At 45.2% G+C, this 12,311-nt stretch overlaps 2 protein-coding genes across 20 annotated transcripts in view; one reads left to right on the top strand and one right to left on the bottom strand.

Annotated features, from left to right (window-relative positions):
* The window catches only part of NME9 (NME/NM23 family member 9), a 68,416-nt gene that overhangs the window by 26,055 nt on the left and 30,050 nt on the right, over positions 1-12,311 (top strand). For 6 of the 9 annotated variants that reach the window (NM_001349024.2, NM_001349023.2, NM_001349020.2 and 3 more), the window contains 2 exons: positions 154-290; positions 2,093-2,798. In NM_001349024.2, the coding sequence (NP_001335953.1) occupies positions 154-290; positions 2,093-2,157 (202 nt within the window). In that variant the 3' untranslated portion in view covers positions 2,158-2,798. Of the gene's footprint in view, positions 1-153; positions 291-2,092; positions 2,799-12,311 lie in introns of those variants that run through there. The other 3 variants (NM_178130.4, NM_001349021.2, XM_047448078.1) reach the window with 1 other exon arrangement.
* ARMC8 (armadillo repeat containing 8) overlaps positions 5,408-12,311 on the bottom strand; it is a 111,142-nt gene continuing 104,238 nt past the window's right edge. For 7 of the 11 annotated variants that reach the window (XM_006713565.3, XM_024453441.2, XM_011512632.2 and 4 more), the window contains one exon: positions 5,408-7,938. In XM_006713565.3, coding sequence (XP_006713628.1) covers positions 7,905-7,938 — 34 coding nt within the window. In that variant the 3' untranslated portion in view covers positions 5,408-7,904. The remainder of the gene's footprint in view (positions 7,939-12,311) is intronic. The other 4 variants (NM_001363941.2, NM_015396.6, NM_001267042.3 and 1 more) reach the window with 1 other exon arrangement.

The raw sequence follows: 12,311 nt of genomic DNA, 5'->3' as shown, positions 1-12,311 counted from the left end.
TCATTGCTGCTGTTCTTGGTATTTCCTGCAGAGAAATCAATTTCACAGGAATGCAGGGTGCTGATTGGTAGTCGGTGATCATGTTGCCAGAAAGCAAAACATTTCTTTTCAAATGAAACAATTGTTTCTTTTACATTTTGCCAATGTTCCCAGTCTCCGAGCTCAGTACGGCACAGAAATGCCCTTCAATGCCGTCCATGGAAGCCGGGACAGAGAAGATGCTGACAGAGAACTGGCATTGCTCTTCCCCAGTTTGAAATTTTCAGACAAAGATACAGAAGCCCCTCAGGGTAAGTCATCAAGGCAGACTTGGTCTTTATTAAATCATAGATACAAGGAATTTGTAACTATGTGCTTGAGTGTGTGGGGGATTGATAATTTTTGGTAACTAAGTCTTCAACCTAATACAGTCCTGTTCTGAAAATACAGGTCATTATATAACTTGATTATCAATACTAAACTGTTTTGTGTTCTCATAGAGCAACAGTGTTGCTTTTTAATACCTCATTAAATTTTTTGCTGCTTATCTTGGAGTCATATTTTTGTTACAAAAAGTACTTTATTTGCATTTCCCTGTGGAAACCATTGGGAAAATTTCATTAACTTTCTGAAAGCCTACCTCAAAGCCAGTCAGAGGCCAGACCTGCTCCACACACTCCATGTTAAGCCCCTAAGGGCTCACTGAGAAACGCAGCTATACGGAAGGGCCCTCAACCTGGAGCCTGCTGTGACTTCATCTCCCTCAACACCACATTTCAATGCATGACCGTTGTTTAGGACCTTCCCTTCATGGGAAGCATTCGGACAGCCTCTGGGAAAGGCATGCCAGGTGGCAATGCCACCTCCAAATCTGGGTGAGAACCCCAAGGGGTCCGGAGCCCATGTGACTCAGTCTACCCCACAACCAGTGGAACTGCTGCATTACATGTCTCTGGTTTGAGCATGAAATGAGTGGAAGAGGCTGGGAGATGATTATTTTGGGAAAACCCAAAGGATGTGAGGGTTGGATTCTCGGGAGGTCACATTCACATCTGAAATGTGTGTCTAAATGTTTGGGTTTTAATCAATATATTTGCCTAAATGTTTGATATGCTCATGGTCTCAAGATCTGAAATGCAGCCAAGTCAAAATAGGTGGACTTGCCACTGCTCTATGAAGTAGAATTATTCCCACTGCCAGCTGAGGAACAAGCTGAGCGTGCCACAGAGGCTGGGGAGCCAGGAACTCTTGGGAAGTGTGGCTCTATGTGGATCAGAGACCCACTGACACTCCAGGCCAGCTTTCCTCTGGGACCTGCCCTCAGAGAGTCCATGATGCATTTCCTTATGTGTCCAGGGTTGTGGGGCACCTTCAAGCTTTTGGGAATGGGGGGTGGTGATTGGAAGCAAATGGCTGTAACTCAGAGCCAAGTCTGTGGCAGGTGGCTGGGAAGTTCTCACTGGGCTGTTGGGAGTGCTGGAAGATCATGAGACTGACTTTTTGGCCTCAGGTGATAAGAAAAGGGGCTATCTGCAGACCACATCCTGGGAATAAGTGCACAGCCTCCTTTGGACACTGGCAGCCTGGCTGGGGTGCTGTTCTGCCCATTTATTCTGATATGTCACTGTCTCTCAGCTTTGGGGAGCAGCATATGCCTCCACTGTAGTTAGCACTATTCCTGCTAAAAAAAGGCAGGAGTCAAGGTGATAGACAATCCCGGGTTTGAATCCTGGCTCCACTATTCCCCAGCTGAAGAGCCTCTGAAAAGTTACTTACATTTTCTGGGCCTCAGTTTCCTCATCTGTGAAATGGAGATAATGATAGACTCGTCATAACCACAAATAGCTTCATAATAAAAATCTTCATCATAGAGCTGTTGTGAAGATGAAAGACAGGATGTAAAGCTCTTGGTCTGGCATCTGACACAAATTAAATGCTCAATGTTATCCATTCTAATTTATTTAATTCCTGGTCCCTAACACGTATCAGGACTTCTTTGCTGACCCTCCTGCTCTGACCTTTAACTTCCTATTTCTTTGTGGATGGTGGGTGGGACAGAAGGTCTGGGACAGGGCTGTTTCAGGAGTCCTACCAAACATCTGTCATCCCACAGGCGGTGAGGCTGAAGCAACAGCGGGGCCCACTGAGGCGCTTTGCTTTCCTGAGGATGTGGATTGAGATGGCTGTGCTGCTCTTCCAGAGCACGTGACCAGGGGTCTACTGCACAAAACAGACCTCCGGAATCGGAACTTACTCTTTTGAGTACCAATACTTTTTGGTTTAGCTGTCTTTTGTAGACAATGAAAATAATATGGCTGGGCGCAGTGACTCACACCTGTAATCCCAGCACTTTGGGAGGCCGAGGCAGGTGGATCACCTGAGATTAGGAGTTTGACACCAGCCTAGCCAACATGGTGAAACCCTGTCTCTACTAAAAATACAAAAAATTAGCCGGGCGTGGTGGTGTGCACCTGTCATCCAGCTACTCGGGTGGCTTAGGCATGAGAATCGCTTGAACCCGGGAGGTGAAGGTTGCAGTAAGCCGAGATCATGCCACTGCACTCCAGCCTGGGTGACAGAGTGAGACTCCATCTTAATAATAATAATAAAAAAAAAAGTAAAGAAAGAGAATAGTATATACTTTTCTGCCTTATTAAACAGTATGTAGAACGCAGTTTTTTTTCTCTGTCTTTGGGATTTTACAAAATAATTGAACATCAGTTATTACATCCTGTTGTGAGATATAAGTGTCATCTCAGAGGATACTGGGTTATATGAGATGGTGTTTCCCCAACAATAAATCTACCTTATGAATTAAACAATTTTAGAACTTAATTTGGTAACCATGAGCTTGAAAACAGTGCAGCAAGATTGACTATGACACTTCCAGGCACACTGATGCCGAGGCAGATATAAATAGGCTCCAAATGCTTCCTCACACTGCCTGCCCAAGTCACACCAACAGTCATTTAATGCTGCCAGATTTCCCCATCTGCAGTTCTCCATTACCAGGGCATGTTCATAAAGCAATGCTCAGACATTAAATTTGGAACCAGGGTTCATCTAATTTTCTTGACGCATCCCTCCCCCATTTCTCTGGCTTCTGATTCTGGCTGACACTTAAATTTAAAAGCTGAGAGCTCCTAGTGGGGCCAGGTTGCCTTCAGCTCCCACTGAATTGCCTGGCTTAGCCATCCCTCTGCAGTTCTTCCCTGGAGGGACACAGGATTTCAGTAAAAAGTAGCTATTATGACCACTTGGGAATTATTAGCACACAATGCCACCCCCTCTAACGACTTTATTTGTAAATTTGCCAAGTGCCGGCATACTTTTTCCTATCTGAGGAGAAGGCCATTTTCTACACCACGAAGCAAATGCCAGCGTCTTCCTCCTTGCTGGTTTTGTCCATGACTTGAGGTTCTTTAAATGGGCAGTTAGCTCCCAGAGGACATTTTCGTGGGTGCATCACACTTCGTCAGCCTACCACAACACACTCTGTGCTCAGGGGACACACGGATAAGTCAGTCCCCACAGTTGGGAACCAAGGCCAGTGACCTTCAGTAGGCCCTACTGTTTAAGGCCACTGTCCTTCCCAGGACCTCGTGCCACCCCTGGATGGAAACACACATGTCCACAGTGCTCATCGGAACCTGTACAGGATCTCAATGTGCCCAACAGAGCCCTCACTGACAGGACCTGTCAGGAAGCTGGATGCACTATTCCAGATCCCCAGACTCACAGCCCACCATGGGGCTGTGCTCTTCCCTTTGGGAGTGGGCTCAAGAGTGGGGCCCATATGGTCTGTGCCCACTTCACGAGTGGCAAACGACTTGGAGAAGCCCTATGCCTGGGCTTCCACACCACAGGTGTGTGTGGCTCTGAATGAGCTACTTGGAGGGGGTGCACCCAGCTGACAGCCATCTGATCTCCCCAGAATCTGGGAAGCCAAGGATCTTCCAACATTGGTGAGATGAGAGATGGAGCCACCAGGACCTCCCAAAGCAGGGGAGAGAGGGGAAAATGAGGTTGGGGAACTGAGCCTGTCGGCGGGGAGTGTTCTTGTGTCAGTGATGGATGAAGTAGCTGGGCAGGGCAGTGGTAAAGCAAAGTGGGGCACTAGGTGATGGGGCAGGAGTGGGAGGAATGGTGACATGCCCCTTCCTCCCATTACTGGTGACTCAGGGATGCTGTGGGTTCAGCATTGCAGGGCATCTCTAAGAGTCCACAAGTTTCATGGCATAAGGAACAGGGGAATGGGGTGTAAGGGGGTTCCCGAGAGTGGCTCAAATATCAGCCCACTCCCAGAGGATGGAACTCACTGGCGGAGACCCTAGGCCTGGTTTCACACAACAGAAGCAAATATGGAAGTAAAGGATGGGTGCTGTTTTTGGCTTTAAGATCCCTCGGCTCCTGGGTGTGAGTGCCTGACGAGGAGGGCAGGCTGGGCTCCATGAAGTCAAGGAGGGTGGTTTTAAGGACTGGCTCTGGACCTCCACTCAGCCTGAGGGCAGATTGCTTGCCAAAGCCAGGAGCCAGGGGCTGCAGAGATAGAGAAAAGGTGGCTTAGTAGTCCACTCAGTGGCCCTTGGGGGGTTCCCTCAGCCTTCCCTAAAGCCAGATCCTGGACCTTCTCTCATGCTGGAAATAAACATGTGCCTCTCTGCCCAGTAAACAGGCAAGGGGCAGGATGGGGACAGCACCAGTTCCTACCCCAGGTGGCAAGAAATTGGAACCGTTCTGTCAGCCCTCCATCAAGATCTGGGGTGGGAGTCCCCCTTCCCTCCTTAGACCTCACTTCCAAGTTTTCCTGTGGTAGTTATGGGAAACAGGGGCCTGCTTGGCCCTGCTCCTACTCTCTTCGCCTTACCTTGGGTCCTCTCAGAGGTTCCCACCATGATTATTCCCTCTCTTGCTAGCCACCTCATCATCCTCCCGCCACTCTGGCGCAGGTGTCCTTGGCTTTGTTTCCAGTGAGGCCTTGAGATAGGAGATGTGCCTACAATTCAGAGATGGGAAAAGGTGGCAGTGCGTAGTAGACGAAGAGCACCTGTGTGTCCTTGCAGAGGGATAGCAAGCTCTTGCATACTGTGGTAGTGGAGATGCAAGCTGGTGGTAGTGGAGATGGGGCATACCTAAGGAGAAGAGGATGGAGGGGGTGGACATGATATTGGGGATGGGATATCTTGTGGCTGGGAGTGGCCACCTGTGAAGGGTCTGCTGGCCTTCAGAAGGAGGCCAAAAAGAGAGGGGTCCCCAGACTGCTGCAGATGCCTCTGGGAACCACACTTACCTTAAGGCACTGGGTCCCACTCTGAAATGCAAAGCCACTTCCCAGCCCTTCATTTACCAAGAATCACAGGTTCCAAAAGCGTGTACACATTATCTTCTGATGTTTCCTAATGTTCTAGACATTTGGAAAACAGACTCCTTTTTAGAAGTTGCCATGATTTTTCTTGGCTTTTATTAGCATGTGTTAAAATCATATTATCCAAACACTACCAGAAGAACATGTATTGTTCTGAATAAAGTGCTTAAAGAAAAAAAAATGCAACTTATTAAATTGGACATTCTTTTCTAGTTCATAAATTTTGGATTACAATCAGGGCACAAAAGGAGAAACAGAATGCAGTATTAGAGCGAGAAGCTTAGTTAAGAACTTGGGTGTAGACACAATACCATGTCCACTCTTCCCACTTCCTTGCTGACTGAACACTGCACCTGCATAAAGCAGCAAACAGCTTTGTTTCAATAAATACATTTCCCTTCATTCAAATCAGAAAAGTTAATTATAGTAAAGCATTTTTAATTTGACCATCTGTTTATACCCACAGGCAAAATTTATCCACAGAGTTTAAGTGTGAAAGTGTTATTTCATTGGGCCTTCAGCTTTCTAATGCTATTTGGGTTCAAGATTGTCTCAGCAATTCATTATTGGTTTCTTTATATTTACCTAGTACTATTTAATACCAACACTATAGTGTTTTGTGTTAAAAATGCCAACCAAGGATATTTTCACAGTTCTAGAAACGAGTGGGCCTGAGGCTTTCTTCCCAATAAACTAAGTTTTCTTTTAACTGGGTTTCTCACATTAGCACTCTGATATCTGCACAAAACCAAGTCCTGTTGTGACAGATTTTAAAATCGGTGATGTTCTGAAAAAATAGTAACTTGGAAGTCTCTGTGTTTGAATCTTGGGTGGTCATGTTGAGAGCAGGAAAAATTGCATTAAATACATTTTTAAAACATTCATTTGCAACCAAACATTTAAATCTTCCAAGGAACGTGCAGGGTGGTGATAGGGCAGCTGCAGTGTGAGCAACCCCATCAGGAGTGGCTGGTGGGTGGGCTTGGAGCTCCATCAGTGGCACACACTCACCGCAAGCTTCTGGACCGCAGACCTTGCATCCTGGTTGCGAAGCCTTTGACCTTCTTTTAGCAAAGAGAAAAGGTAGGCTGCTTCTACCTTCAAACAGTCAAGAGCAACTTCTGTTGAGTTCACCTTGCTGCTGACCCAGAAGTTGGAGCAGGGGCCAAGCTAAGGGGTGCAGAAAGGCTAACAGTACTTGCTGTAAAAAGAAGTCATCTTCAGTCATCCTGGGGAGATTCCCTTGCCCCTCTCTCAACTTGAGTGCTTTTAGCTTCATGCAGGAAAGATTTTAGTTGCATCTTTTATTAAATTTCAATCTCGTTTTACAAAAGCATACCAACTAGCAGTCCTGAGCAACTAGTATGAAATTTGCTGAATACAGCTAACAGAAAGCTTTCTAAACTATCCTGTTCTTTGTTTCTTTCTACAGGGGTGTCTGTAGAATATTCTTTAGTTTCACAGTGATATATGCTGTTTCAGGAAGCACAAGGTATTCTGTTTCTGGGAAGTGATGACCTACTTTTAGTTTGAGCACAAGTTTCCATGACTGGTTCTAAATCTGGCCAGATATTGCTAATACCAATGACAGGAGTTAGGGCAATTGGGAGGCTCTTGGTCCCCAGTTCCTGTCAAGGGTAAGCCCATCTGGGTCATGGCTGGGCTTTCACTATCAGTAGTTATATTTCCCTTTGATGCTTCAAAAAGCCTATGGTGAATCTGTTGCCTCACTTTACTTCTCCATTTGACTTGGAAGCCTGAGAACTTACTGAATTAGGATGAAAAAAGGCTCTGTACCTGCTAATATTGACGGCAGTAAGATGCTAGCTTACTATTTTGCACAGCACCATGTATAGTGCCTGTTAATCAGGCCAACTATAGCCAACTTTTTCTTTTTTTTTCTTTTTTTTTATATAAAGAAAATCTATGTAAGTTGAGGTTCAGAAATGCATATATTTTTTACTTACAAATATTCATCTGACCAAAATTCAACATAACCTTTATGGAACACTTAACAATTGTTTTGTTTTTAAAATAACATTTCATTCAAACTGTATATAATTCAGTAAAGTTTTTTATACAGCAAGCAATGCTTAAACCCTGGAAAATCTGTAGAAAAGAGATTTTCACACAAAATAAGAAAAGAAAAATCTGAGGTATCCCTCACACACACACATCCATTCATTCTGGCCCATGTACGTGCACATACACACGCATGCCTGTGTGTTCACACAGACATATTCATTCTCACTCACAAAGTGGCTGCAGCATAGGCAAAAATTGTAGGTCCAAAGGAAAATGATTGATTGTTCTAATAAAGAGTCCGAGTAGCTCAGAAAAAAAAACCAAAACAAAACACAAGAGTCTTCTGAGGAAATTACTACCTCAAAAAAATGTTCTCAAGATGAATTTGAGATCTAAGCCTACTAAACTGCTTTTGCAAAACAGCTCCCTGCAGTCCAAGGTGACTTGTGCAAATAGAAGGAATCAAATGAGGCTGGTTCCTGTACTTCCTTAAACAAGGAGGTGGGATGCTCGCAGGTGCCCAGGGGCACTCCCATCATGCCAGGTACTGCTGCAGTGCCATCTTTGCCCTGAAATCACAAAATTCCTGTTAGCCATCATCTCAGAATTGTAATTGGGGTAAAAAACCCTATGGTTCAATGATGATAGCTGGGGAAGTCTAAAAAAGTAAATCTCCAGAGGGAATTGGGGTGAGCCCAGGTGGGCACCTACCTTAAGGGGAAGAGATCTGCAGTGGGTAGACACCTGAAATCTACTCTGGCTATATTCTTCTTCCTGTGGATCTCTCAGAGGGCTGTTCCTGCACTTAAACCTGCTGCAGCTCAGTGACATTCCACAGTCCCTGGTATGTGCTGACATTCTATGTTTTCTTTTGTCACTGGCATATAGTTGTGATAGGTCTTACATTCTTTACTTTTTCTTACTGCCATGTAGGTTTTATGCAGTGAGGCACAACACTAGGGAGAACACTTAGGGTTCTGGGAAGCAAATAAGAAAACTGACCGAGGAAATGGTGTTGAGGTGATTAGAAGGTGCATGGAAGGGGCCAAGAGCCCATGGGATGAGGCTGTCTTATGCTTCACATGCCTCAGAACCGTGGAAGAAGGCTACAATTTCATCTTGTTCTTCTCATCACACCTGATGACACCATAACTGATCAATGTGAGATGTGTGTTGTTACGGTGATGGGGGAAGAAGGTGGCCAGGTGGAAAGGAAAAGATAGAATGTAGGCCGGGTGCTGTGGCTCACACCTGTAATTCCAGCACTTTGGGAGGCTGAGGAGGGCAGATCACCTGAGGTCAGGAATTCAAGACCAGCCTGGCCAACACGGTGAAACCCTGTTTCTACCAAAAATACAAAAATTAGCCGAGTGTGGCAGCGGGCACCTGTAATCCCAACCACTTCGGAGGCTGAGCCAGGAGAATGGCCTGAACCTGGTGGGTGGAGGTTGCAGTGAGCTGAGATGGTGCCATTGCACTCCAGCCTGTGCGACAAGAGTGAAACTCCATCTCAAAAAAAAAAAAAGAACAAAAAACAAACAAAAAAACCCAAAAAACAAACCAAAAAATAATGTGAACAGTGACTTAATCTATCCTGATCCTTGTAAAAGTGGCCTCCTTTGAGGTGGGCCCAAGGAGGCCTCCTTTACTATTCCTATCACAAACATGGTAAAGTTTCTAAAGAGGCTGTAATCGTGGGAGTTAGGAAGTCAGGTTTCAGCAATGGTCTCTTCTAAGCTATGGAAAGAAAGTCTACAATGTTCAGGTACAATAGCTGATCAAACTAATACCAAGTAGACTATGCATACAATAAGCTGGATTCAAGTGCAGTTTCTGCAGTAATGGACACAACAGTTTTTTAAGTGGTATACTAAGGTGTATTCTTGCAATTATATAAGACTCTAAAGATGATATTGTGAATAGTCCAATCCATCAGAACAGAAAGCTCTAGAAAGATTATCTCCAAGTTATGAGCAAGTAGGGTTCTACAAGGACATTTTCAGAAACAAGTTTATGAATGATGCCACAGACCATCCACCTGACTCCCCAAATACTTAAAGAGGCTGAGAAGAACAGTTCTGATGGAGGCGGGAGCTCTGGGACCCTGCAACCCTGAAGCCCTCCAAGCCTGGGTGGAGAGGGCTGGTTAGCAATAGCTTCTCATCTGTAAGCATCTGAAAGTCAAAGGATCAAAGTCTTAACGACAAAAGGAACCTGAGAGATATATTCTTCAGGTGATAGACCTTACTGTACTTAACTGAGGGTCTTGATTGAAATTCTGTATTGCTCTTTAAATCTGCCAAATTCAAACTCCTTCTGGATCTTATTCAGAGGTTGGCTAGGTTTGATTATTTTGGGTCTCAGAGACTGTACCTTTATTGTCTTTCTACTGTCATTATCTAAGGAGTCTTTTTAGAAGAATGGTTTTGGAGGCAAGATCACCCTTTCTTAGATGGACTCAGGTTGGGTAGCTCAGACCTTGATTCTATTATTTTACGGTTTACGTTTAAGAAGAGCTAAAAACTTATGTGAAAACAGCACCAGAGTGGTCTAAGCAAGCAGGCTAAACCTATCCCACTTGATGCTGGTAAGGCCTATCCTACCATCCTATGTCATCCTTGAGATGATTTTAAGTAAAATTTGTTTTTACTTCTGAATAAATATGAGATAAAACCCCCAGTGAACAACCTGGCTCTCAGGTAGAAAAGATGGGCTGACAGAGCCCACTGTTTATGCCAGCAGCTGTGGAGGTGGAGGTTCCAGTCCTCAAGGTACAAGCTCAGATCCAGCCTTCAGCATGTGGATGGACTTGACTTTGATGGTACACTCATCTGACCAGCAGCCTTGGGCTGCAGTTTTTTAGTTCTTCTTCCTCTTTTCTTTTTTTTTTTGAGACAGTCTTGCTCTGTTGCCTAGGCTGGAGTGCACTGGTGCAATCTCGGCTCACCACGATCTCTGCCTCCTGGGTTCAAGTGATCCTCCTGCCTCAGCCTCCCCAGTAGCTAGGACTACAGGCACGTACTACCATGCCCTGCTAATTTTTGGAGTTTAGTAGAGACGGGGTTTCACTATGTTGGCCAGGCTGGTCTCGAACTCCTGACCTCATAATCCGCTTACCTCGGCCTCCCAAAGTGCTGGGATTACAGGCGTGAGCCACCGCGCCCAGCCTAGTTATTCTTCTTTAGCCTACAGGATGGTAAGCTTCGGGGAAGCAGAGGCCTAGCCTGTCCTGTGTGCTTCACAATCTGGAAGAGCCATTTACTTCAGAGGAGTTAGTTAAGTTCCTCTCCCCTTCAGTGGAGCAGACAACCTGACAGCCAAGACACAGTGTGACGTGTTCTACAGATGCTACAGGAGCACAAAAGGCATCCCTGGCAAAGCCTGGAGGGGAGGGTGGAGAGTGGGTCAGGCAAGGCTTTTTGGAGGACATAGCAACCTGATATGAGTTTTGAAGGATAAACGGCCACCGTCCAGGCATCTTTTTCCTTTGTTTTCTGGACACCTTATGCGCCTGAGTCTCTGCCTGCCTCACTAGCTGTTCCTTCTGCTCCTTTGCTGCATCTTTCTCATCACTGCCTAAATGCTGGAGGGACTCTAGATCTTGGTCCTTAGTCCTCCTTTCTCTCTTTTTACTTGCTCTAAGAGACTTCATCCAGCTCCATGGCTTTAAATACCATTCAGATTTATAGCCCTGCTCTTCCAAGTCCCTTGGATATCTAATATGCATCTTAACGCTGGCATACCCAAACAAGAACTCTTGATGCTCCCTACCGCAACCCACTTCTATATTCCTCACCATCTTGGTATATGGCAACACCCTCTGTCCAGTTGCTCAGGCTAAAACCCTAGACATTTTCCTTTCCTCTCTTTAACATCCTGTACTGAATCTGTGAGTAAGTCCCGTTGGTGCTTATCTTCAGATTAAATCCTGAATCCAACCACTTCTCAATACTTCCAATACTAATCCCCCCACTCCCTTACCGACATTATTACAATGGCCTTTAACTGGTCTCTGTGCCTCCATTCTTGCCCTCCTACAGATGGTTCTCTGTAAGTCACCAGAGTGATCTTTTAAAAATTCAAATCAGGGCCCGGCGTGGTGGCTCACGCCTGTCATCCCAGCACTTTGGGAAGCCGAGGTGGGTGGATGATCTGAGGTCAGAAGTTTGAGACCAGCCTGGCCAACATGGTAAAACCCTGTCTCTACTAAAAATACAAAAAAATTAGCTGGGCGTGGTGGCAGGCGCCTGTAATCCCAGCTACCTGGGAGGCTGAGGCAGGAGAATCACTTGAACTCAGGAGGCAGAGGTTTCAGTGAGCCAAGATCACGCCATTGCACTCCAGCCTGGGCAACAAGAGTGAAACTCCATCTCGAAAGAAAAGAAAAGAAAGAAAAAAAGAAAAAGGAAAAGGAAAAAAGGAATTCAAATCAGATAATGTCTCCTCTCCTTAACAGTCTCCAATGATTTCCTATTAAACTCTGAATAAAAGCCAAAGTCCTTACCTTACCTACAAGGCTCTTCATGGTCTGGATTCTTCCACCTATTAGCATTCTCCCTCTCCATATTTTTCATTAGCCCTCTGTTCTTCTTGCTGTTTCTTGAACATACCAAGTTCACTCCTGCTTCAGGGCCTTTGAACCCACTATCACCCCTGTCTGTAATACTCTTCCTCTATGCATTTGCCCAGATGAAATCTTCCTTATTTCATTCAGGTCTCTGATCATGTCATCCTCAGAGAGATCTTTACTAGCTAACCTAAAATAAATTTTCTTGATTCTCCATTCCTTCACCTTGCTTTATTTTTCTTCATGGTACCTCTCATCACCTGATACTGTGTTACGTATTCATTTGCTTATCATCTATCTTCTATACTAGAATGTAAGTTACACGAGGGCAAAGACTTCATCAATTTTATTCACCATTATATCTCCAGTGCCTAA

This window comes from Homo sapiens, chromosome 3 (genome assembly GCF_000001405.40).
Source record: "Homo sapiens chromosome 3, GRCh38.p14 Primary Assembly".
NCBI lineage: Eukaryota > Metazoa > Chordata > Mammalia > Primates > Hominidae > Homo > Homo sapiens.
Note: the sequence above shows the minus strand (reverse complement) of the source record. Positions and strands in the feature narration are given on the sequence as shown.